The 27,859-nt window shown below is 36.8% G+C and overlaps 1 protein-coding gene across 3 annotated transcripts in view, besides 1 other annotated feature; it reads left to right on the top strand.

The window, feature by feature from the left end:
• Positions 1-23,907, top strand: part of MCHR2 (melanin concentrating hormone receptor 2) — a 75,705-nt gene extending 51,798 nt beyond the window's left edge. For all 3 annotated transcript variants that reach the window (NM_032503.3, NM_001040179.2, XM_024446571.2), the window contains exons 5-6: positions 7,909-8,028; positions 21,171-23,907. In NM_032503.3, the coding sequence (NP_115892.2) occupies positions 7,909-8,028; positions 21,171-21,486 (436 nt within the window). In that variant the 3' untranslated portion in view covers positions 21,487-23,907. The remainder of the gene's footprint in view (positions 1-7,908; positions 8,029-21,170) is intronic.
• Positions 10,282-10,781: an enhancer, noted in NCBI's record as "H3K4me1 hESC enhancer chr6:100379521-100380020 (GRCh37/hg19 assembly coordinates)". NCBI's record gives its function as "activates a minimal SCP1, AML or CMV promoter by ChIP-STARR-seq in naive H9 embryonic stem cells {active_cell/tissue: H9 hESC(naive)}" and the evidence as "EXISTENCE:reporter gene assay evidence [ECO:0000049][PMID:30033119]".
• Positions 23,908-27,859: the final 3,952 nt, after the last annotated feature.

Below are 27,859 nucleotides of genomic sequence, written 5' to 3'. Positions count from 1 at the left end.
AGATTTTAAGAAACACAGAGACACACAGAAAAGAGAATACAGGTGAAGACAGAGGCGGAGATTGGAGTGATATGTCTGTAAGCCAAGGAACACCAAGGATTGCCAGAAACCAGCAGAGAGGGTAGGAGGGGGCATAGAGCAGATTCTGCTTCAGAGCCTCTGAAGAACCAAATTTGCCAGCACCTTGATTTCAGATGTCTAGCTTTCAGAGCTGTGAGAGAATAAATTTCTATTGTTTTAAGCTATGCAGTTTGTGCTAATTTCTTATAGCAGTCCTAGGAAACTAATGCAACTACCATAGCCGTTTTATACATTTTAATTTAAAAAGAAATTAAAAGTCTTCAATTTGAAATTTGAACACAGAATTGGAGTTCATGATTAAATTATTTGAGCAACTACCAATGACCAATAACTGTGTTAGATATTTTTACATATGCTATCTCAAGTCAGTCTGGCAGATTACTTTCTCTTACTCCATCACTTGTCAAATAGATAAGTCATTTCTGCATTATGTGGACACAGCCAAAGAAAGATGGCGGTAAAGGACCTGCAAATCCGCTAATCCAGTTAAAAAAAAAAAATTCATATGCTTGCATGTCTTGTTCAGTTCAGTTTAGTATAACAAAGCACTATAGACTAGGTGGCTTGTAAACAATAGAAATTTATTTTTCACAGTTCTAGAAGCTGGAAATCCAAGATGAAACTGCCAGCATGATCAAGTTCTGATGACAGCCCTCTTCCAGGTTGCAGTCTGCCAACTTCTCATTTTGTCCTTATGTGGCAAAAGAGAGAGACAGGAAGCAAGCTCTCTTGTGTCTCTTCTTATAAGTACACTATTCCCATTCATGAAGGCGCGACTCTCATGACTTAATTAGTTCCCAAAGACCCTACTTCCTCATACCATTATATTTGGGGTTAGGTTTTCAACATAGGAATTTTGAGGGAACACAAACATTTGGGACATAACAGTGCAACATAGATAGGACTGCACTTCCAGTTCCAAAATGGCAGCATAGAAGCAAGCTGACTGAATGCCCCCACTCCCAGAGCCCTCAGAAAATCAAAGACAAATATACAGCACCAAGGTTATCATTAGCAATATCCCAGAACTCCAGAACTCCAGAACTCAAATATGTGGATGAGATGGTTCCTCAGGATTCAGAGAAGTGAAAAAAAAAAAAAAAAGCCTCCAAGCCAACTGTAACAGAATCAGATTTCCACATCCATGACACCCCTCTCCCCCATTCTGCCTGACACCAAACACATGAAAAACTTCCCCCCAACTCACAGTTTCTACACTGAAAAAAACGAGATCAAGGTAGACAACCAGCTTTCCCACCACCTTGGGTTCCCTGACAAAATACCTGTCTCTGCCTTAACCTATGGGAAGTATCATAAGTTCTGGAAGGGAGAAATATCCCTGAGAACAGGCAGAGACAAAGTAGGGAGGTGGGACTGTTGCTCTGTAACTCAGCCAAAGGAGACACTAAATCAGAGTGGCTATATAGCAGTACACTCCAGGAGGTACATTCAGCAGGTCCCCTGGACAAACCCCTAGCCAGGCTTCCCACACCTCCGGGATATCTCCTTTGGGACTTCCCCCATTCAGGACAGCCAGTGACTGATGGGTCACTAGAGCCAAAGCAAGCCTGGGCTTAAGGCACCACCTAGAGCCAAAAGGAGACAGCAACCTAGCGATAAAGACTCTCTAAGCAAATACAGGAAATAAAAACCAAAACAACTCAGACAGAGAAGACTGGAATAAATAGCAAATCCTTAATGCAAAGACATAGATGTACATCCATAAGAAGCAACAGCAAACAGTGAACCATCAGGGAACCAGTAACTGACCCTAATGAGACAGCAATATGTGAGCTCTCTGGCCAATAATTCAAAATAGTGGTTTTTAGGAAACTCAGTGATCTCAAGATAACACACAAAAGCAATTCAGAAATATATCAGAGAAATTTAACAAAGAGATTGAAATAATTTTAAAAATTAAAAAAAATCTTGGAACTGAGAAATACACTTGCTAAACTGAAAAAGTTACTAAAAATTCTCAACAGCAGAACGGGTCAAGCAAAGGAAAGAATTAGTGAGCTCAAAGACAGGCTATTTGAAAATACACAGTCAGAAAAAGGAATGAAAAGAAATGAAGACTGTATACAAGATATAGAAAAAATTACTTCAAAAGACCAAATCTAAGACTTATCGGTGTTCAAGAGGGAGTTGAGCAAGCGCAAGGAGTAGAAAGCTTATTCAAAGAAATAATAACAGAAAATTTCCCCAAATTGAGAAAGATGTAAATATCCAGATATGGGAAGATCAGAGAACACCAAACAAAATCAACCCCAAAAAGACTGTACCCCAAGGCATATAATAAACTCTCAAAAGTCAAAGACAAAGATAGAACTCTAAAATCAGTAAGAGAAAAGAAGCAAATAACGTATAAAGGAGCTCTAATTCATCTGGAAATGGACTTCTTACTAGAAACCATACAGGCCAAGAGGGAGTGAAATGGCATTCTCAAACTGAAAAAAAAAAAAAAAAAAACACCTGCCATCCAAGATATTGCATCCAGCACATTATCCTTCAACTGTGAAGAAGAGTTAAAGTGTTTTCCAGACAAGCAGAAGTTGAAGGAATTTACCACCACCAGATCTGTCTTACAAGAAATGCTAAAGGGAGTTCTTCTGTTGGAAAGAAAAAAAAAAAAACACTAATGTGCAAAAAGAAAATACTTGAAGGTATGAAACCCCTGGATAAAATTAAATACATTAACAAGCCCAGAATACTCTAATACTGTAATTATGGTGTATAATCCACTCATAATTCTAGCATGAAGCCCAAAAGACAAATCTATCAAAAATGGTAACAGCTATAGCAACCTGTTAAGAGACAGATAATATGGAAATACGTAAACTGAGACAACTAAAAGTTAAAATGTAGGGGAATGGAGTTAAAATGTAGATTTTTTTCCACTTTTTTCTTTGATGTAAGATAAATTATCATCTCTTTAGAATAACTTGTTATATATATTTTTTGTCAGCATCATTGCAACCACATCACAAAAATCCATAATAGATTTTAAAAATAAAAAGGAATGAACTAAGACATTCCGCCAGAGAAATTCACTTTTCCACAAAGGAAGATAGTAAGAAAAGAAGAAAGGAAGACAAAAGTTACAAAACCAGAAAATAAGCAACAAGATGGCAGTAGTAAGTCCTTGCTTATCAATAATAATACTGAATGTAAAGGGTCTCAATTTTCCAATTAAAAGGCAGCAAGAGGCTTGATAAAGAAACAAGACTCAACTATATGCAGCCTACAAGAAACCCACTTCACCTATAAAGACACACATAGACTGAGAGTGAAGGGATGGGAAAACACATTCCATACAACTGGAGGTCAAAAAGAGCAAGAGTAGCTATATTTAGATAAAATAGACTACAAATCAATGACTGTAAAAGAAGACAAAGAAGGTCACTATATAATGATAAAGGAGTCAATTCAGCAAAAGGATATAACAATTTTCAGTATCTCTGCACCCAACATTGGGGCTCCCAAATATATAGAGCAAACACTAATAGATCTTCAGGGAGAGAGAGGGCTGCAATGCAATAATAGTAAGAGATTTTAACACACCATTCTCTGTTATCGACAGATCATCCAGACAGAAAATCAACAAAGAAACGGCAGAATTAAACTACACACTAGACCTAATAGGCCTGACATTTACAGAACATTTCACCCAACTGTTGCAGAATGCAAATTCTTTTCAACAGCATATAGAACATTCCCCCAGAATAATCCTATCAGGCCACAAGACACATCTGATCAAATTCAAAAAAGTAGAAGTTATAGCAAGTATCTTTGACCACAATGGACTAAAACTAGAAATCAATAACAAGAGCAACCTTGGAAACTACACAAATATATGTAAATTAAACAACATGCTCCTGAATGATTAGTGGGTCAATGAATACATCAAGAAAGAAATTTAAACATTTTTGAAACAAACGAAAGTTGAAATACAACATACCAAAATCTATGGGATATAGCAGAAGCAGTACTAACAAGGAATTTTACAGTTATAAATGCCTATATCAAAAAAGTAGAAAGACTTAAAATAAACAACCCACGAATGTACCTCAAAGAATTAGAAAGGCAACAAACCAAACCCAAAATTAGTAGCAGGAAATAAATAATGAAGATTAGAGCAGAAATAAATAAAATTGAGACTAAAAAAACTACAGACGATCAACAAAATGAAAAGTTGGCTTTTCAAAAAGATAAACAAAACCAACAAACCTTTAGCTAGACTAAGAAAAACAGAGAAGTTCCAAATAAACAAAATCAGAAACAAAAAGGGAAACATAACAACTGAAACCTCAGAAATACAAAGAGTCATTAGAAACTGTAATGAATCACTAAAAGCCAACAAACTGGGAAATATAGAGGAAATAAATAAATTCCTGGACACAAACAGCCTGCCAAGATTGAACCATGAGGAAATAAACAGCCTCAACAAATCAATAGCGAATAAGGAGACTGACGCTGTAACAAAAAGTCTTTCATCAAAGGAAAGTCCAGGACCTGATGACTTCATTGCTGAATTCTACCAAATATTTAAATAATTAATACCAATTCTCTTCAAACTTCAAAAAAAAAAAATGAAGAGGAAGGAATACTTCCAAACTCATTCTACAAAGCCAGCGTTACTCTGATACCAAAACCATCCAGAGACACACAAGAAAACAAAACTACAGACCAATATTACTGATGAGCATAGATGCAAAAATCCTTAACAAAATACTAGCAAACAGAATTCAACAACACATTAAAAAAATCGTATATCATGAGCAAGTAGAACTCATCCAAGGAATGTGAGGATGGTTCACCATACACAAATCAATAAATTTGATACATCACATTAACAGCACCAAGAACAAAAACCATATGATTATTTCAATAAATGCCAAAACATCATTCAATAAAATTCAGCATCCCTTTCTGATAAAACCCTCATCAAACTGGTTATAAAAGGAACATACCTCAAAATAACAAAGGGCATACATGACATACTTACAGCTAATTTTGCACTGAATGGGGAAAAATTGAAGGCCTTTTCTCTAAGATCTGCAACAAGACAAGTATACCCACTTTCACCACTTTTATTCAATGTAATATCAGAAATCCTAGCCAGAGCAATTAGGCAAGAGAAAGAAATAATGGGCATTCAAATTGGAAAGGAAAAAGCCAAATAGCCTTGTTCACAGATGGCATGATATTATGTTTAGAAAAACCTAAAACTCACCAAAAAACTATTAAAACTGATAAATGAATTCAGTAAAGTCACAGGATACAAAATGAATGTATAAAAATCAATAGCATTTACATATGCAGTAATAAACAATCTGACAAAGAAATCAGAAATGCAGTGGCCTTCAAAATAGCTACCAAGAATATAAAATACCTAGTATTCAATTCAACAAAAGAAGTGATATATCTATACAAGGAAAACTATAAAACTCTGATTAAAAAAATACACACGTACATAAATACCTGATGCAAGAAATAGGACACAAAAAAGGATATTCCGTGTTGATTAATTGGAAGAATTACTATTGTTAAAATGACACTACTACCCAAAGCAATGTACAGATTCAATGCAATCTCTCTCAAAATACCAATAACAGTTTTCACAGAAACAGGACAAAAAATTCTAAAATTTATATGGAACCACAAAAGACCCTGAATAGCTAAAGAAATCCTGAGGTAAAGAACAAAGCTAGAGGCATCATGCTACCCGACTTCAAAATTTACTAGAAAGCTATAGTAACCAAAGCAGCATGGTACTGGCATAAAAAGACACATTGACGAATGGAACAGAATAGAGTGCCCGATATAAATCCACACATTTATAGCCAACTCATCTTCATCAAAGGAGCCAAGAATGGAGACAGGAAAGTCCCTTCAATAAATTGTCCTGGGAAAACTGGAAAACTACATGCAGAAGAATGAAACTAGACCCATACCTCTCACCATACACAAAAATCAAACCGAAATGAATTAAATACTTAAATCTAAGACTTGAACCTATGAAAACTACAAGAAGAAAACATAGGGAAATGCTCCAGGACATTGGTCTGGGCAAAGACTTTTCATACAAGACCTCAAAAGCACAGGCAACCTAAGCAAAAGTGGATAAATAGGATTACCTCAAACTAAAAAGCTTCTGCACAGCAAAGAAAACAATCAACAAAGTGAAGAGACAACGCACAGAATGGAAGAAAATATTTGCAAACCATCCATCTGACAAGTGATTAAAAACCAGAATATATAAGGAGCTCAAACAACTCAATAGCAAAAAAACCCAAATAATCCAATGTAAAAAATGGGCAAAAATCTGAACAGACATTTCTCAAAATAAGACATATAAATGGCCAATGGGTACATAAAAAGTGCTCAGTATCACTAACCATCAGAGAAATGCAAATCAAAACCACAAGGAGATATCATCTCACCCCAATTAAAGTAGCTTTTACCAAAAAAACAGGCAATAATGGATGCTGACAAGGATGTGAACAAAGCGGAACCTTTGTACATTGTCGGTGGGAATATATATTGTTACAATCACTATAAAGGCTCCTCGAAAAACTAAAAATAGAACTACCATATGATCCGACAGTTCCACTACTGGGTTTATATCCAAAAGAAACGATATTAATATACCAAAGAGATATCTGTACTACCATGTTTATTGCTGTACTGTTCACAATAACCAAAATATGTAATTAATCTAAATGCCTATCAATAGGTGAATGGATAAAGTATAATATATATACACACAATAGAATATCATTCATCCATAAAAAACAACAAAATCCTGTCATTTGTAGCAACATGAATAGAAATGAAGGCTATTATGTTAAGTGAAACGAGCCAAGTACAGAAAGACAAATATCACATCTTCTCACTTATATGTGGGAGCTAAAAAAGTGAATCTCATAAAGATAGTAGATTGGTGGTTACCAGAGGCCAGGAAAGGTAGAGGAAGTGGGTAAAGAAGAAAAGATAATTAAGTGGATACAAAGATACACTTTAATAAAAGAAATAAGACCTAGTGTTTGGTGAATCAGTAGGATGACTATACTTTAAAATATCCTATTGTACATTTCAAAATAGCTAGAAGAGAATAATTTGAATGTTTCTAGCATTTTTAAAAAGACAAATATTTAAGGTGATGGATATTCCAAGTACACTGATTTGATTTTTACAAATTATATGAATGTATTAAACTATCACATATACTCTGAAATGATATACATCTATTATGCATCAGCGAAAATTGTTTAGAAGAAACATAGATAATATTGTTTATTCATTACTTCTCCCACCATCATTGGCTATCCTGGGTTCAAATTTTACCTCTGCCAGTTACTGTTTGGGTAATCTTGGGCAAGCCACTTGACCCCTCTGTGCCTCAGTTTCTTCTTCTGTAATGTAAGGGCACTAATGGCATCATACTCATGGGGTTTCACAGATTCAATGAGTAAAGATATACAAAATGCTTAGAACAGTGCCTACTATATAATAAATGTTACATACTGTTGCCTGTCATTGTTAAACACTGAAGATTGGTAATAGGTAGCCTCACTTATTCTACACTCATTAGAGTTGGGTGTGGCTAGAGAAAAGACAAGCATTGTTGTTAGTGAACAATGAAGATCAGGGCTTCTCTACAATAAAGCAACCAAAGATCTTGAGCTTTTCCACAAGGACTTTCATCCTGGACCCTGAAAAATGAAAGAATTATGCCTCGGAAACTGCAAAAGCCAATTCCTAATCCAATTAATGTAATGGTGTTGTTCTTTCTCTCTCTCTCTTCTCTCTCTCATTTTACAGGTATACACTTTATTTGACGATAACAACTTTTTTTTTCCCTCTACCCTTGATTTTGGTGTGCTATATTTTAATTTTATGCTATACTTGGGAGATGTATCAACAGAATAAGGATGCCAGATGGTAAGTGTTTGCCTTGTTTTATTTGTTAAAAGAACAATTTAGATAGCCTAAGACATCTACAATAGAAACTTAGGCAACAGTGACTTGAAACATACCACATTTAGACATGTGGACATTGATATATGTCTATAGAAAAAATTTTTGGAAAATAAGACATGTGCTAAATAAACTGCTTAAGAATCTCTCAGTGACGAGTGTTGAAATCACAGATGTAATGGTTTCATTAAAATGCATACGGAACTCAAGATTCTATTTAAAGAATAATTTTATATTTGTTATTAAGTTATTTAACTGTTTTCATTGCACATTTTGCAGAGTTGCATGCATATGTAAATATCTTAGATGTTATGTGCAACCTTTTAATTTTTGTGTTTCAATTTTTTTAATTTAAAGGAGAAAAGTCTCATTAATATTTGAATTTTAAAGGAAGGGTTTTATTAATATTAAAAGATTAATCAGGAGCAAATGAAACCAAAGAGTTAACCTAAAGTCAATAAACTTGAGAAGGACCTTTGAAGATACTTGTCTCTAAAGCTGCATAAATAAATCTAAATTATTTTCACCTTGAGATTGTGTATTCCACAATCTACTTGTTCAAATGAATAAGTCAGTAATTATATAACCTGTTGGTTAAAAACACACTTACATTTATTAAACATTATATTTTAAATATATTTTTGTGTTTCTTATGAAAAGGCAAGTTTGCTGGGTTTCCCTGCACACTACAAATTTACAAATTTTACAAACTTTTTGTTTAAAAAAATGTGAGCAACTTAACCACCATTCCTCAAAATTTGTGGCAAACCCTTGAACCAAAGGTTTGTAAGTAGTCTGTTGGCTCACAGCATTTTTTTCCCACTTAGTTTCTTGGAATTCTTTGAAAGTCTTGCACTAGTAAAGTGTGGTCCATTTGGGAAGAAAAAGGAAGTAGCCACAGTTACAGAAAAAAAATTAGTTTATAAATGTATCCCAGGGAGCTGAGTTGGTGAGAAGGTTAAAATGAAATCATATGGAATATTAAAGATACCAACAGCTAGAGAGAATGCTTGAGCCTTTTTTAAACAGTTCTCCAAATCAGATCATTTTGCTCCTGACTCATTTCTCAGAAATGCTAAGAGGATCTTATGAAACACATCTCATACACATAAAAATGCAAAAAATTAGAGGAATGATAGTGCCTACTCTGATAAATTGCAGGGGAATCAAATGATTTTTAGCTTCCATGCTTTTAAAATTATTCCCAACTTTTATTCATCTGTTACCCCCATGTCCCAGGGAAATTTCCATTAAACGCCTAAATATGACATAACATGATTAAATATGGGAATTTTAAAATATGTTTTATTTTAAAATAATTTGCATTTCTAAAAAAGTAGATAGTAGAGATATAGTACAGATAGTACAGAGACAGTACAGAGGGTTCCCAAATACCCCTCACTCAGTTTTCCCATTGTTAACATCTTACATTACCTAGGATATTTGTCAAAACAAAGAAAATTGCAGTACATTACTGTTAACTAAATTCCATTCTTTACTGGACTTCACTAGTTTTTCCATTAAAGTCCTAAATCTGTTCCAGATTCAATCCAGAATAGCACATTGGATTTAGTTATCATGTCTTCCCAGTGTCCTCTGATCTGTGAGTTTCTCACTCTTTCCTTATTTTTCATGACCTTCATAGTCTTGAGCACTGGCCAGGTATCCTGTAGAACATTCCCAATACGAGTTCGCCTGATATTGTATCATGATTAGACTGTACTTACATGTTTTTATTTAAAAAAATCAACTCTTCTCATCACAGTATATCAGGGGTCACATGATAGCCACGTTACATCACTGTTGATACTAGCCTTGATTACCTGGTTAAGGTGGTATTTGCTAGGTTTCTCCACCATGAAACTACTATTTATCCCTTTCACTATTCTGTTCTTTGGAAATGAGTCACTAACATAGCCTACCTTCAAAGGGGAAGCAGGAAGATGGGAATTAAGCTCCATCTGCTGAAAGGGGAGTATCTATGTAACAATCCCTATATTATTTAGAATGCTTCTGTAAAAAAGGTCTGGCTCTTCTCTCCTCATTTTATTCAATATTATTTATATTACTATAGACTGATATGTTTCTTTCACACATTGAGTCATAATTTAATGCTTTGTTATTTATTTGGTCTCTCAAAATGTTCCAGCTTTGAACTTTACATGCCAGGAGAGAGTGGCATAACATATTTAAACACTAAAGGAAAAAAACTTATACCCTAGAATAGTATATCCAGCAAAAATACCCTTCAAACATGAAGGAGAAATAAAGACTTTCCCAGATGAACTAAAGCTGAGGAATTTCATCAACACTAGACCTGTCTTACAAGAAATTCTAAAGGGAGAACTTCAATCAGAAATAAAAGGACATGGAGGGAGGAGCCAAGATGGCCGAATAGGAACAGCTCCGGTCTACAGCTCCCAGCGTGAGCGACGCAGAAGACGGGTGATTTCTGCATTTCCATCTGAGGTACCGGGTCCATCTCACTAGGGAGTGCCAGACAGTGGGTGCAGGACAGTGGATGCAGTGCACCGTGAGCGAACCAAAGCAGGGCAAGGCATTGCCTCACTTGGGAAGCGCAAGGGGTCAGGGAGTTCCCTTTCCTAGTCAAAGAAAGGGGTGACAGACGGCACCTGGAAAATCGGGTCACTCCCACCCTAATACTGCGCTTTTCCGACGGGCTTAGGAGACGGCACACCAGGAGATTATATCCTGCACATGGCTCAGGGGGTCCTACGCCCACAGAGTCTCGCTAATTGCTAGCACAGCAGTCAGACCAAACTGCAAGGCGGCAGCGAGGGTGGGGGAGGGTTGCCCGCCATTGCCCAGGCTTTCTTAGGTAAACAAAGCAGCCTGGAAGCTCGAACTGGGTGGAGCCCACCACAGCTCAAGGAGGCCTGCCTGCCACTGTAGGCTCCACCTCTGGGGGCAGGGCACAGACAAACAAAAAGACAGCAGTAACCTCTGCAGACTTAAATGTCCCTGTCTGACAGCTTTGAAGACAGCAGTGGTTCTCCCAGCACACAGCTGGAGATCTGAGAATGGGCAGACTGGCTCCTCAAATGGGTCCCTGACCCCTGACCCCCGAGCAGCCTAACTGGGAGGCACCCCCCAGTAGGGGCAGACTGACACCTCACATGGCCAGGTACTCCTCTGAGACAAAACTTCCAGGGGAACAATCAGACAGCAGCATTCGCGGTTCACGAAAATCCGGTGTTCTGCAGCCACCGCTGCTGGTACCCATGCAAACAGGGTCTGGAGTGGACCTCTAGCAAACTCCAACAGACCTGCAGCTGAGGGTCCTGTCTGTTAGAAGGAAAACTAACAAACAGGACATCCACACCAAAAACCCATCTGTACATCACCATCATCAAAGACCAAAAGTAGATAAAACCACAAAGATGGGGAAAAAACAGAGCAGAAAAACTGGAAACTCTAAAAAGCAGAGCGCCTCTCCTCCACCAAAGGAACACAGCTCCTCACCAGCAATGGAACAAAGCTGGATGGAGAATGACTTTGACGAGTTGAGAGAAGAAGTCTTCAGATGATCAAACTGCTCTGAGCTACAAGAGGAAATTCAAACCAAAGGGAAAGAAGTTAAAAACTTTGAAAAAAAATTTAGACGAATGCATAACTAGAATAACCAATACAGAGAAGTGCTTAAAGGAGCTGATGGAGCTGAGAGCCAAGGCTCAAAAACTACGTGAAGAATGCAGAAGCCTCAGGAGCTGATGGCGATCGATTGGAAGAAAGGGTATCAGTGACAGAAGATGAAATGAATGAAATGAAGCAAAAGGGAAGTTTAGAGAAAAAAGAATAAAAAGAAACGAACAAAGCCTCCAAGAAATATGGGACTATGTGAAAAGACCAAATCTACGTCTGATTGGTGTACCTGAAAGTGACAGGGAGAATGGAACCAAGTTGGAAAACACTCTGCAGGATATTATCCAGGAGAACTTCCCCAATCTAGCGAGGGAGGCCAACATTCAGATTCAGGAAATACAGAGAACGCCACAAAGATACTCCTTGAGAAGAGCAACTCCAAGACACATAATAGTCAGATTCACCAAAGTTGAAATGAAGGAAAAAATGTTAAGGGCAGCCAGAGAGAAAGGTCGGGTTACCCACAAAGGGAAGCCCATCAGACTAACAGCGGATCTCTCGGCAGAAACCCTACAAGCCAGGAGAAAGTGAGGGCCAATATTCAACATTCTTAAAGAAAAGAATTTTCAACCCAGAATTTCATATCCAGCCAAACTAAGCTTCGTAAGTGAAGGAGAAATAAAATACTTTACAGACAAGCAAATGCTGAGAGATTTTGTCACCACCAGGCCTGCCCTAAAAGAGCTCCTGAAGGAAGCACTAAACATGGAAAGGAACAACCGGTACCAGCCACTGCAAAATCATGCAAAATTGTAAAGACCGTCGAGGCTAGGAAGAAACTGCATCAACTAACGAGCAAAATAACCAGCTAACATCATAATGACAGGATCAAATTCACACATAACAATATTAACTTTAAATGTAAATGGACTAAATGCTCCAATTAAAAGACACAGACTGGCAAATTGGATAAAGAGTCAAGATGCATCAGTGTGCTGTATTCAGAACACCCATCTCACGTGCAGAGACACACATAGGCTCAAAATAAAAGGATGGAGAAAGATCTACCAAGCAAATGGAAAACAAAAAAAGGCAGGGGTTGCAATCCTAGTCTCTGATAAAACAGACTTTAAACCAACAAAGATCAGAAGAGACAAAGAAGGCCATTACATAATGGTAAAGGGATCAATTCAACAAGAAGAGCTAACTATCCTAAATATATATGCACCCAATACAGCAGCACCCAGATTCATAAAGCAAGTCCTGAGTGACCTAAAAAGAGACTTAGACTCCCACACAATAATAACGGGAGACTTTAACACCCTACTGTCAACATTAGACAGATCAATGAGACAGAAAGTTAACAAGGATACCCAGGAATTGAACTCAGCTCTGCACCAAGCAGACCTAATAGACATCTACAGAACTCTCCACCCCAAATCAACAGAATATACATTTTTTTCAGCACCACACCACACCTATTCCAAAATTGACCACATACTTGGAAGTAAAGCTCTCCTCAGCAAATGTAAAAGATCAGACATTATAGCAAACTGTCTCTCAGACCACAGTGCAATCAAACTAGAACTCAGGATTAAGAAACTCACTCAAAACTGCTCAACTACATGGAAACTGAACAACCTGCTCCTGAATGACTACTGGGTATATAACGAAATGAAGGCAGAAATAAAGATGTTCTTTGAAACCAACGAGAACAAAGACACAACATACCAGAATCTCTGGGACACATTCAAAGCAGAGTGTAGAGGGAAATTTATAGCACTAAATGCCCACAAGAGAAAGCAGGAAAGATCCAAAATTGACACCCTAACATCACAATTAAAAGAAGTAGAAAACCAAGAGCAAACACATTCAAAAGCTAGCAGAAGGCAAGAAATAACTAAAATCAGAGCAGAACTGAAGGAAATAGAGACACAAAAAACCCTTCAAAGAATTAATTAATCCAGGAGCTGGTTTTTTGAAATGATCAACAAAATTGATAGACCGCTAGCAAGACTAATAAAGAAGAAAAGAGAGAAGAATCAAATAGAGGCAATAAAAAGTGATAAAGGGGATATCACCACTGATCCCACAGAAATACAAACTACCATCAGAGAACACTACCAACACCTCTACGCAAATAAACTAAAAAATCTAGAAGAAATGGATAAATTCCTCAACACATACACCCTCCCAAGACTAAACCAGGAAGAAGTTGAATCTCTGAATAGACCAATAACAGGATCTGAAATTGTGGCAATAATCAATAGCTTACCAACCAAAAAGAGTCCAGGACCAGATGGATTCACAGCCGAATTCTACCAGAGGTACAAGGAGGAACTGGTACCATTCCTTCTGAAACTATTCCAATCAATAGAAAAAGAGGGAATCCTCCCTAACTCATTTTATGAGGCCAGCGTCATCCTGATACCAAAGCCGGGCAGAAACACAACCAAAAAAGAGAATTGTAGACCAATATCCTTGATGAACATTGATGCAAAAATCCTCAATAAAATACCAGCAAACTGAATTCAGCAGCGCATCAAAAAGCTTATCCACCATGATCAAGTGGGCTTCATCCCTGGGATGCAAGGCTGGTTCAATATATGCAAATCCATAAAGGTAATCCGCAATATAAACAGAACCAAAGACAAAAACCACACGATTATCTCAATAGATGCAGAAAAGGCCTTTGACAAAATTCAACAACACTTCATGCTAAAAACTCTCAATAAATTAGGTATTGATAGGATGTATCTCAAAATCATAAGAGCTATCTATGACAAACCCACAGCCAATATCATACTGAATGGGCAAAAACTGGAAGCATTCCCTTTGAAAACTGGCACAAGACAGGGATGCCCTCTCTCACCACTCCTATTCAACATAGTGTTGGAAGTTCTGGCCAGGGCAATTATGCAGGAGAAGGAAATAAAGTGTATTCAATTAGGAAAAGAGGAAGTCAAATTGTCCCTGTTTGCAGATGACATGATTGTATATCTAGAAAACCCCATTGTCTCAGTCCAAAATCTCCTTAAGCTGATAAGCAACTTCAGCAAAATCTCAGGATACAAAATCAACGTACAAAAATCACAAGCATTCTTATACACCAATAACAGACAAACAGAGAGCCAAATCATGAGTGAACTCCCATTCACAATTGCTTCAAAGAGAATAAAATACCTAGGAATCCAACTTACAAGGGACGCGAAGGACCTCTTCAAGGAGAGCTACAAACCACTGCCCAATGAAATAAAAGAGGATACAAAGAAATGGAAGAACATTCCATGCTCATGGGTAGGAAGAATCAACATCATGAAAATGGCCAAACTGCCCAAGGTAATTTATAGATTCAATGCCATCCCCATCAAGCTACCAATGACCTTCTTCACAGAATTGGAAAAAACTATTTTAAAGTTCATATGGAACCAAAAAAGAGCCCACATCGCCAAGTGAATCCTAAGCCAAAAGAACAAAGCTGGAGGCATCATGCTACCTGACTTCAAACAATACTACAAGGCTGCAGTAACCAAAACAGCATGGTACTGGTACCAAAACAGAGATATAGATCAATGGAACAGAACAGAGCCCTCAGAAATAACACTGCATATCTACAACTATCTGATCTTTGACAAACCTGAGAAAAACAAGCAATGGGGAAAGGATTCCCTATTTAATAAATGGTGCCGGGAAAACTGGCTAGCCATATGTAGAAAGCTGAAACTGGATCCCTTCCTTACACCTTATACAAAAATTAATTCAACATGGATTAAAGACTTAACGTTAGACCTAAAACCATAAAAACCCTAGAAGAAAACCTAGGCATTACCATTCAGGACATAGGCATAGGCAAGGACTTCATGTCTAAAACACCAAAAGCAATGGCAACAAAAGCCAAAATTGACAAATGGAGTCTAATTAAACTGAAGAGCTTCGGCACAGCAAAAGAAACTACCATCAGAGTGAACAGGCAACCTACAAAATGGGAGAAAATTTTCACAACCTACTCATCTGACAAAGGGCTGATATCCAGAATCTACAATGAACTCAAACAGATTTACAAGAAAAAAACAAACAACCCCATCAAAAAGTGGGCGAAGGACATGAACAGACACTTCTCAAAAGAAGACATTTATGCAGCCAAAAAAACACATGAAAAAATGCTCACCATCACTGGGCCTCAGACAAATGCAAATCAAAACCACAATGAGATACCATCTCACACCAGTTAGAATGGCCATCATTAAAAAGTCAGGAAACAACAGGTGCTGGAGAGGATGTGGAGAAATAGGAACACTTTTACACTGTTGGTGGGACTGTAAACTAGTTCAACCATTGTGGAAGTCAGTGTGGCGATTCCTCAGGGATCTACAACTAGAAATACTATTTGACCCAGCCATCCCATTACTGGGTATATACCCAAAGGACTATAAATCATGCTGCTATAAAGACACATGCATACGTATGTTTATTGTGGCACTATTCACAGTAGCAAAGACTTGGAACCAACCCAAATGTCCAACAATGATAGACTGGATTAAGACAATGTGGCACATATACACCATGGAATACTATGCAGCCATAAAAAATGATGAGTTCATGTCCTTTATAGGGACATGGATGAAATTGGAAATCATCATTCTCAGTAAACTATCGCAAGGACAAAAAACCAAACACCACATGTTCTCACTCATAGGTGGGAATTGAACAATGAGAACACATGGACACAGGAAGGGGAACATCACACTCTGGGGACTGTTGTGGGGTGGGGGCAGGGGGAAGGGATAGCATTAGGAGATATACCTAATGCTAAATGACGAGTTAATGGGTGCAGCACACCAGCATGGCACATGTATACATATGTAACTAACCTGCACATTGTGCACATGTACCCTAAAACTTAAAGTATAATAATAATAAAATAAAAAATAAAAATAAAAAATAAAATAAAATAACAAAAAAAACAAAAATAATAACTACAACAACTTTTCAAGACATAGATAATACAATAAGATATACACTGAAACAACAAAAAGTTAAAAATTGGGGGTACAAAGTTAAGGTGTAGAGTTTTTACTGGTTTTCTTTTTGCTTGTTTGTTTATGTAAACAGTGTTAAGTTGTTATCAGGTTAAAATAATGCCTTATAAGATAGTATTTGTAAGACTTATGGCAACCTCAAATCAGAAAACATACAATGGATAAACAAAAAATAAAAAGCAATAAACTAAATCCTATTACCAGAGAAAATCACCTTCACTAAAGGAAGACAGGAAGGAAAGAAAGAAGGAAGAGAACGCAAAACAACCAGAAAACAAATTTTAAAATGGCAGGAGTAAGTCCTTGCTTATCAATAATAACATTGAATATAAATGGACTAAACTCTTCAATCAAAAGACAAAGACTGGCTGACTGAATGAAAAAACAAGACCTGTTGATCTATTGCCTTCAAGAAACACACTTCAACTATAAAGACACACATAGACTGAAAAAAAAGGAATGGAAAAACATACACCATACCAATGGAAACCAAAAAAAGCAGGAGTAGTCATATCAGACAAAATAGATTTCAGTTAGAAAACTATAACAAGAGACAAAGAAGATCACCATATAATGATAAAAAGGGGTCAATTTAGCAAGAGGATATAACAATTTAAAATATATATTCACCCAACACTGGAGTATCCAGATATATAAAGCAAATATTATTAGAATTAAAGAGAGAGATAGGCCCCAATATAATAGTAGCTGGAAACTTCAATAACTTACTTTCAGCATTGAACAAATCTTCCAGCCAGAAAATTGACAAAGAAACATTGGACTTAATGTGCACTGTAGACCAAATGGATCTAATATATATTTACAGGACATCTCATCCAATGACATCAGAATATACATTATTTTCCTCAGCACATGGATCATTCTCAAGGATAGAACATATGTTAGGTCACAAAACAAGTCTTTAAAAATTCAAATAATTGAAATAATACCAAACATCTTCTCTGACCACAATAGAATAAAACTGTAAATCAATAACAAGAGGAATTTTGGAAACTATACAAACACATGGAAATTACAAAATATGCTCCTGAATGACCAGTGGGTCAAAGAAGAAATTAAGGAAGTTGAAAAATTTCTTGAAACAAATGATAATGGAAACACAACATACCAAAACCTATGGGATACATCAAAAGCAGTACTAAATGGGAAGTTTATAGCTGTAAGTGCCTACATCAAAAAGATGAAAAATGTCAAATAAACAGTCTAATAATGTACCTTAAAGAACTAGAAAAGCAAGAGCAAACCAAACCCAAAATTAGAAGAAAGAAACAATAAAGATCACAGCAGAAATGAATGAAATTAAAATGAAGAAAACAATAGAAGAGATCAGTGAAACAAAAATCTGATTTTTTTTAAAGTTAAACAAAATTGACAAACTTTTAGCCAGACTAACTGAGAAAAAGACAGAAGATCTAAATAAATAAATTTGGAAATGGAAATGTAGACCTTACAACTGATACTGCAGAAATTCAAAGGATCATTAGTGGCTACCATGAGCAACTGTATGCCATTAAATTGGAAAACCTAGAAGAAATGGACAAATTCCTATACATATATAACCTACCAAGATTGAACCAGGAAGAAATCCAAAATCTGAACAGACCACTAACAAGTAACAAGATCAAAGCCATAATTAAAAGTCTCCCAAGAAACAAAAACCCAGGACCCAATGGCTTCATTGAATCCTGCTAAACATTTAAAAAGCTAATACAAATTCTAATCAAATTATTCTGAAATGTGGAAGAGCAGGGAATAATTCCAAACTCATTCTACAACACCAGTATTACTGTGATACTAAAATCAGACAAAGACACAACAAAAAACTACAGGCAGATCTCTCTGATGAATATTCATGCAAAAATTCACAACAAAATATTAGCAAACCAAATTCAATAATATATTAGAAATCTCATTCATCATGACCAAGTGGGATTTATCCCAGGGGTGCCAGGATGATTCAACGTATGTAAATTAATCAATGTAATACATCATATCAACAGAATGATCATTTAAATGATCAACATATGATCATTTAAATTCAATATAATAAATAGAAATATCAAATGCTGAAAAAGCATCTGATAAAATTCAACATCTCTTTATGATAAAAACCTTAAAAAAACTAGTTATAGGAGGAACATACCTCAACATAATAAAAGCCATATATGACAGACACCCAGCTAGCATCATACTGAATGGGGAAAAAACTAAAAGACTTCCCTCTAAGATTTGGAACATGACAAGGATGCCCACTTTCACCACTGTTATTTAACATAGTACTGAGGTCCTAGCTAGAGCAATCAGACAAAAGAAAGAAATAAAGGACATCCGAATTGGAAAGGAATAAGCCAAATTATCCTTGTTTACAGATGACATGATTTTATATTTGGAAAACTCTAAAGACTCCACACACAAAAAAAACTATTAGAACTGATAAACAAATTCGGTAAAGTTTCAGGATACAAAATCAACATACAAAAATCAGTAGCATTTCCATATGCCAACAGTCAACAATCTGAAAAAGAAATAAAAAAGTAAGCCCATTGATAATAGCCACAAATAAAATTAAATACCTAAAAACTTAACAAAGAAGTGAAAGATCTCTATAATGAAAACTATAAAACACTGATGAAAGAAATTGAAGAGGACACCAAAAAATGGAAAGATATTCCACATTCATTGTTTGGAAAAATCAGTATTGTTAAAATGTTCATACTACCCAAAGCAATCTACGGATTCAAAGCAATGTCTATCAAAATACCAATGATATTCTTCACAGAAATAGAAAAAAAAATCTTAAAATTTATATGGAACCACAACAGACCCAGAATAGCCAAATATATCCTGAGCAAAAAGAATAAAACTAGAGGAATCATATTACCTTACTTCAAATAATACTACAGATCTATGGTAACCAAAACAGCCTGGTACTGGCATAATAACAGAGACATAGACCAATGAAACAGAATAGAAAACCCAGAAACAAATTCACACACCTACAATGAATTCATTTTTAACAAAGGTGCCAAGAACATATACGCTGGGGAAAAGACAGCCTCTTCAATAAATGATGCTGGTAAAATTGGATGTCCATATGCAGAAGAATGAAACTAGAGCCCCATTTCTCATTATATACAAAAATCAAATCAAAGTGGATTAAAGACTTAAATCTAAGACTTCAAACTATGAAACTTCTACCAGAAAATATTGGAGAAAATCTCCAGGACATTGGTCTGGGCAAAATTTCTTACTCCACAGGCACGGGCAACCAAAGCAAAAAATGGACAAATGGGTCCGGGCGCGGTGGCTCATGCCTATAATCCCAGCACTTTGGATGGCCGAGGCGGGCGGATCGCGAGGTTAGGAGATCAAGACCATCCTGGCTAACACGGTGAAACCCTGTCTCTTACTAAAAATACAAAAAATTAGCTGGGTGTGGTGGCAGGCGCCTGTAGTCCCAGCTACTCGGGAGGCTGAGGCAGGAGAATGGCATGAACCCAGGAGGCGGAGCTGGCAGTGAGCCGAGATTGTGCCACTGCACTCCAGTCTGGGCGACAGAGCGAGACTCCGTCTCAAAAAAAAAAAAAAAAAATGGACAAATGGGATCGCAACAAGTTGAAAAGCTTGGCTATATAAATTGCCAAGATTTAGAATCAACCTAAGTGTCCATCAACAGATCAATAGATAAAAATAATGTGATATGTGTACACAATGGAGTACTATTCAGCCATAAAACAGAATGAGATACTGTCAATTGCAAGAACATGGATGGAACTGAAAGTCATTATGTTAAGTGAAATAAACCAGGCACAGAAAGACAAACATCACATGTTCTCACACATTTGTGGGATCTAAAAATCAAAACAATTTTACTCATGGACATAGAGAGTAGAAAGATGGTTACCAGAGGCTGGAAAGGGTAGTAGGGGCCTGAGGGTGAGGTGAGGATGGTTAATGGGTATTAAAAAATAGTTCAAAAGAATGAATAAGGCCTAGCATTTGATAGCACAACAAGGTGACTATAGTCAATAATAATTGTACTTTTAAAAATAACTAAAAGAGTATAATTGGATTGTTCGTAATACAAAGTATAAATGCTTCAAGGGATGGATACCCAATTCTTCATGATGTGATTATTACACATTGCATGCCTGTATCAAAACATCTCATTTACCCCATAAATATATACACCTACTATGTACCCACAAAAAATTTAAAAAATTAACAACAACGAAAAAAAGTTCCAGCTTTGGAAACTTTGGAAAGTTTTCAACAAGAATAAAAAAGAATATATCACAATGCACCAAGTAAGTAGGAATATAATAATGAGCTTCATATTTCACTACAAAGCCATTATGAACTGTCCAAAAGGTTCTAGGAACACATTGCCCCATAATTTCTATGGTTGTTTATACCCTGTCTATCTGAATGTTTCCTCTGCAGCTGCAATCCCAGTGTACCAAAACAGAGAGTGATGAAGTTGACAAAGATGGTGCTGGTGCTGGTGGTAGTCTTTATCCTGAGTGCTGCCCCTTATCATGTGATACAACTGGTGAACTTACAGATGGAACAGCCCACACTGGCCTTCTATGTGGGTTATTACCTCTCCATCTGTCTCAGCTATGCCAGCAGCAGCATTAACCCTTTTCTCTACATCCTGCTGAGTGGAAATTTCCAGAAACGTCTGCCTCAAATCCAAAGAAGAGCGACTGAGAAGGAAATCAACAATATGGGAAACACTCTGAAATCACACTTTTAGGAAAGTACATGGATCACCATGAGTCTAGACATGATTGTCTATCTTACTGGTATTATCAGAAAGGGCAGGTGTACCGATATGTTTATGCCCATTCTTCTTGTGTACTTGTGACTCTTAGCAGCATGGAAGAGAAGTGTAACCATGCAAATACAATGAGCTTAATATGCTAACTTTAGCAAGATGTAAAATGTTGATCTATATTGTGGGTAGGGAATGGGATAGTCTGAGATACCCAGGCTTCATGATGGTGTATATTATTTCAGCATATTATAAACTAGTCACTAATGAAAATGGCCATCCATGACCATTGACTCAAAACTCACCAAGGAACCTGACCTTGCCCTCCACACTGTGGCCTCACTGTAACAGTTTCCTCAAGGTTCCTAGGAGGGTATCACCTTAGAGTGAAGTCTAAAATTTGGCTATTTTTTATCTATAAAAAATGTCAGTTTTATATGGTCCAATACTAATACCCTCAACAACTAAGCCCCACCTTTTAGAATAAGTTACCATTTATTGCACACATGCAATGTGTAAGATTACATGTAACAAACCTGTGAAATAAGTATTATTACCTTTGTTTGCTAAGGCTCAGAAAGGAGAAATGATAGGCCTAATGCTGCAACAGCTATCTAAGAGCTGAGCTAACATTCAGCTCTGCCTGTTTCTTTTCTACTGCACGACCTTGACAACCTTTACTTATCATACTGGAGAACCCAGTAACTTGGAGTTTCTTTTGCTTTCTCCTGTAGCCCTACAAGAGGAGAACTAAAGTCTGATAGAAATGAGTTGATGTTTTAAGCATCATTTTGGATTATCTTTGTTCTCACACCTGCTAACTGTAGAAACTGGCATCTGCACTTTAATAATAATACTTTACTTCTGGACTTTAAGCATAATTAGGAAACATTCCTGGCCGGGTGCAGTGGCTCATGCCTGTAATCCCAGCACTTTGGGAGGTGGAGGCAGGTGGATCACAAAGTCAGAAGTTCAAGACCAGTCTGGCCAACATAGTGAGACCCTGTCTACTAAAAATAAAAAAAGATTAGCCGAGCATGGTGGTGTGTGCCTGTAGTCCCAGCTACTCAGGAGGCTGAGGCAGGAGAATTGCTTGAACCCAGGAGGTGGAGGTTACAGTGAGCCGAGATCACGCCACTGCACTCCAGCTTGGGCAATAGAGTGAGACGTCATCTCAAAAAAAAAAACAAAACAAACAAAAAAAAAAACAAGAAACATTCCCTTTTGGTTACAGTATACATGTTTGTTCTAAGGTACAAAAAGTAATTAGCCCTTAAATTTTCATAGGTATTCATTATATCTATCTTTCCTCTTTAGACTTATATATAGTTAGGAAAGGAAACAATGCATTTAATGCCTGTGTTCTACACTAAGACAAATATTGTTATTTTTGCTTGTGGATAAAGTCTGTAAACCCACCTTCTTCATCTAAATACATTAAATTTGTTTTCTCCGTAAACATCTGAAACCAATTTTCAACCAGCCCCTTCTAGAAAAAGAGTTAACCATTTTTATATCTGATCTCCATTTTTATATTTCAATTGTGTTTGGATAAACTTGTATTTGAATCAACCCAGACGTGATTTTTAACCCTATTTATTTTACTCTAGAATTTTTAGGCACCATTTCAGAACTGGATAGTATCTAAATGCATATCTGGATGAATGGTTCTGTAAACCACATGAGAACTACACACTGAGACAGGTAGCATCTGAAACATTTTATTTCCATAGCTGAGGTCTAGAGACCTACATATGCAGCTGGATGCTCCTATAAAACGTCAATAAGAAGCTGTGTCATGGCCACAGTTTCAGGGGTCTTCATTCTCACTTTTCTAAGATGCAACAGTCCGGGCTCAGTGAATAATATTGACTTCTGAAGACCCAGCACAATGGGTCAGAAACATCTTATTATGTGATAATTGAAGAGCAATTGCTTACTTTCATTGTTTTTTTAATACAGAAAAATATTATGATTTTAAAGACTTAGCTTTAAACCACAGACCTTTTTCTAGTAGCAGTCCCAATAGTCCTCAAATAATTGGCCAGTGAATTATTTTAAATTATATTTACTAAGAGTTGTAAGGAGCTTTATTTAGCATTTAATCAAAGTAGAAAATAAAAAGGGTGATTAATAAATTTATTTTTGTCCCTTTATATAGCGTTTCTATGCATAAGCATATTTATATGCAGATTTACAGAGGTGATTTGATAGAGATTCTTTGTGTGTTTTCTATGTTTGGCCATGATATGTATACATGTTTACTTTCAAATGAAGTTAATAATGATACTTGGGTATTTGTCACTCAGTCAAATAATAATCGTATCCTTATTCTATTCTTATTCAATTCTAGGTGCCTCATTTAAACTTTGATCTCAATTAATAAAAATGAATGAGTAAAAATTGCTTATGTATTAATTTACCTCAGGCTTGTAGCTTCTACTTTTAAGATTTTCTATAAGGGATTTTATATTCTCTTAATAGAAATAGCTTCTCCTCAACAAAGAGCAAATGTTTCTGAATTAGTAAAATGTATCTTAAATATGGCCAGTAGTTTGAAGGCACTCATTATCATACCAAATTGTCGGAAACCTAGATTCTTGTATTATGTCTCAGAAATTACTGCTTTTTGTGGGTTATAATGTCACAGGGTCATGGAACATTGAATCTGAAACATACTTTAGAGACTGTCAAGTGTTAAAGATGAGAAAAATGAGCCACAAATAAACCAAATTATTTTTAACACAGTTCATTGTGTGTCCAGAGACCCACACCTAAAAAGCAGCTAGAAACCAGCCCTGAGTCCTTTCTACCAAACCATGGTCCCTCCCTTGTGGAACACTGATACAGTTGCTAATAGCTATAACAAATACTTAAAAGTTTACTGAGTAAATCAAGATTGTATAATTATGCTCTAAAAGTTGTCAAATTTTAAAGAAATACCTGACTCAGAATTTACTTGGATTTCTTGTCAGAATGGCAGACATTAATTATCCGTTCTCTTCACAGAGCTCTATGGAATCAGCCCAAAGCAAAATAGAGAAATTAACAATATTTTCTTTTACTGCCCCCAATTTTTTGTTGACAGCTCTCTACACCAATAATTTAGTTCATTCTACAAAACGCCTCCTCTCTCACCTAAAGTTAGGAACAGCACTACACTTCCTACAGTTACAATTCCTTTATGACTCTACCTTAGCAGGGGTAGCATCAGATTTTTCCATTTGGCCATTTTAGCAATGTTGAGATGTAGCTATAGTCCACTCAAAAAACTATACTTAATTGGTATCTTGATTTCTTGTGTTTGTAAATTCATCATTTAACACATATTTACAGAACACTCTATCTCCAAGGCACTGTGCTGAGCTCCACTGAGAATAATTTTTTTTAATGCCTAAGACATTACCTCATCTCAAGAACTGAAAATCCAGTGTTTCCTATGCTTCCTGTAGATCAACTGTACCCATTAGGTGTCCCAGAGAACAATCTACAATGGTTTCTTGATTCTAAAATATAATTCATAAAATATACCATTAATTTAATAACTGCTTTGGGAGGTAAAAACACAACATTCACATTAATAGATATACCCTCAGAAACACATGTGGAATGCACATCACAGAATTGAGGGGAAAAAAACTGTATCGATAACTGTCAGTACGTTTTCTTCTAAGATTAAATGTACTCATCTCATCAGTTTATGAAAGGATTCTTCATTAAGTGATTTCATTGCTATTAATGTCTGAATTTAAAGACAAAAGTGAATCATATCAAAGGGTCAAAATAGATTAAATATCTCACAAACAATGTTTACCTTTTTCATGTAAGAACTGAGAAAAATGGGAATAATTTTGAATTAAATGTATTGCAGCAGCAGCAAAACCACAAGAACTTGCTACCTTAACAACAGAAAAACTTAACATTGCATTATGAAAACAGAGCTTTGAGCTTCTTGAGGATAAAAAGCTACCTCTGGCTCACCACACCATCACTGGGAGTGTAATTCTGGGATACTACTTCAAAGGTATTCTCTTCTATCAGAAACCTATTTGAAAGTATAAAGTAGCCTTTTAATCAGAAGTGGGGGAAAAAAGCATTTCTAAAACACTATATGATTTTTACTGAGACTACAGGTGGTTCCTATAGCTTATTAAATGTGTTGTTCTTCCTAATTTATAAAACTGAATACATTTGCTAGTTCTCTGAAAAACATTCAAGGCAAATATACTAGACATCTTTTAATAACAGCTATCTAAAATGCCATATGTAAGTCTGTTCCAAAGCAATTGACAAAATTATTTCCAGGAATAAGAAATAAGGAATGAGATTCCTCTCCTCAATTTTCTTTTTTCTTTTTTTTTTTTTTTTTTTTTTTGAGATGGAGTCTCGCTCTGTTACCCAGGCTGGATGGAGTGCAGTGGCGCGATCTTGGCTCACTGCAAGCTCTGCGTCCCGGGTTCATGCCATTCTCCTGCCTCAGCCTCCCGAGTAGCTGGGACTACAGGCGCCCACCACCACGCCCAGCTAATTTTTGTATTTTTAGTAGAGACGGGGTTTCACTGTGTTAGCCAGGATAGTCTTGATCTCCTGACCTTGTGATCTGCCCGCCTCGGCCTTCCAAAGTGCTGGGATTACAGGCGTAAGCCACCACGCCGGGCCTCCTCTCCTCAATTTTCAATGTTGTGTTGACTGCTTTGGAATTCCTGGTGTCAGTAGACCTGGTTTAAGTTCCACCCTGGTCAATTACTAGATGTAAGACCCTTGCAAAGGACATGAGCAGACACTTCTCAAAAGAAGACATTCAGGCAAGACAGACATATGAAAAAAAGCTCAACTGATCATTAAAGAAATGCAAATCAAAACCACAATGAGATACCATCTCATGCCAGTCAGAATGCAATTATTAAAAAGTCAAGAAACAACAGATGCTAGTGAGGTTGCAGAGAAAAGGGAATACTTTTACACTGTTGGTGGGAATGTACATTAGTTCAACCATGTGGAAGACAGTGTGATGATTCCTCAAAGACCTAGAAGCAGAAATAACATTTGACCCGGCAATCCCATTACTGGGTATATACCCAAAGCAATATAAATCATTCTATTATGAAGATACATGCATGTGTATGTTCACTGCAGCACTGTTCACAATAGCAGAGACATGGAATCAACCCAAATGCCCATCAATGATAGACTGGATAAAGAAAATGTGGCACATATACACCATGGAATACTATGAAGCCATGAAAAATAATGAGATCACGTCCTTTGCAGGGACATGGATGGAGCTAGAAACTGTTATCCTCAGCAAACAAATGCAGGAACAGAAAACCAAACACCGCATGTTCTCACTTATAAGTGGGAGCTAAACAGTGAGAACACATGGACACATTGGGAAGAACAAAACACACTGAGGCCTGTCAGCAGGTTGAGGGGAGTGAGGGCATCAGGAAGAATAGCTAATGGATGCTGGGCTTAATACCTAGGTGATGGATTGATCTGTGCAGCAAACCGCCATGGCACACATTTACCTATGTAACAAACCTGCACATCCTGTACAGAAGAAAATATTTTTTTAAAAACTGTTAACTAAACTACTTAATTTATAGATTTGGAAACTGGAGCCCAAAGAGGGTAAAGTGATAACTCAAAATCAAAAAGCTTTTTGTTGCCAGAACAAGGGCAAAAATTTGAAGCTCCTGACTCTTAGGCCCTCCCTGGTTTCCACCATATCCTTCTTTCTCAGGCTGTACTCAGAAAGTAGGGGGCTGTGGATTCCATGCCAAGAAGTTGGTTTATAAATGCAGTGAGATGCCTTGAAACTTTTTGAGGAGTGCAGGATCAGAATCAGATCTGTGCTCTTAGAAATAGCTGGCACTAGAGTGTGTGATGAAAAGAACAGGAAGAGCCTGAGGCTGAAAATCATAGGAAGTTATCACAATGGGCCAGGAAATAATGCCTCAACCAGCACAATGACAGTAAAGGTGTATACATTTACCTACCATTTGTTGAGCGCATACAGTGTACCAGGCAATGTGCATAATCTCATATAATCCTTGCACAGCCCTCAGAGCTACATACCATTATTGTCCACATCTTATACATGAAGAATCCAGGGCTTGGAAAGGTTGAGTAACCTGCCCATGGTCACTCAGCTAGCAACCCCAGGCTGATGCTCTTATCCACTTTTCTTCTTAGCCTTCACAGTGGATGCATCGTTAAAATGCAGATTTTGATTTGGTAGCTCTAGGGTGCAATCTGAGATTATGCATTTCTAACAAGCTCCCAAGTGATGCTGATGCTGCTGTTCCACAGAACACACTTTAAGCTGAAAAAAGTTGTGTCCAATAGAAATGCA

The sequence above is a fragment of the Homo sapiens genome, chromosome 6 (assembly GCF_000001405.40).
Source record: "Homo sapiens chromosome 6, GRCh38.p14 Primary Assembly".
Lineage (NCBI taxonomy): Eukaryota > Metazoa > Chordata > Mammalia > Primates > Hominidae > Homo > Homo sapiens.
Note: the sequence above shows the minus strand (reverse complement) of the source record. Positions and strands in the feature narration are given on the sequence as shown.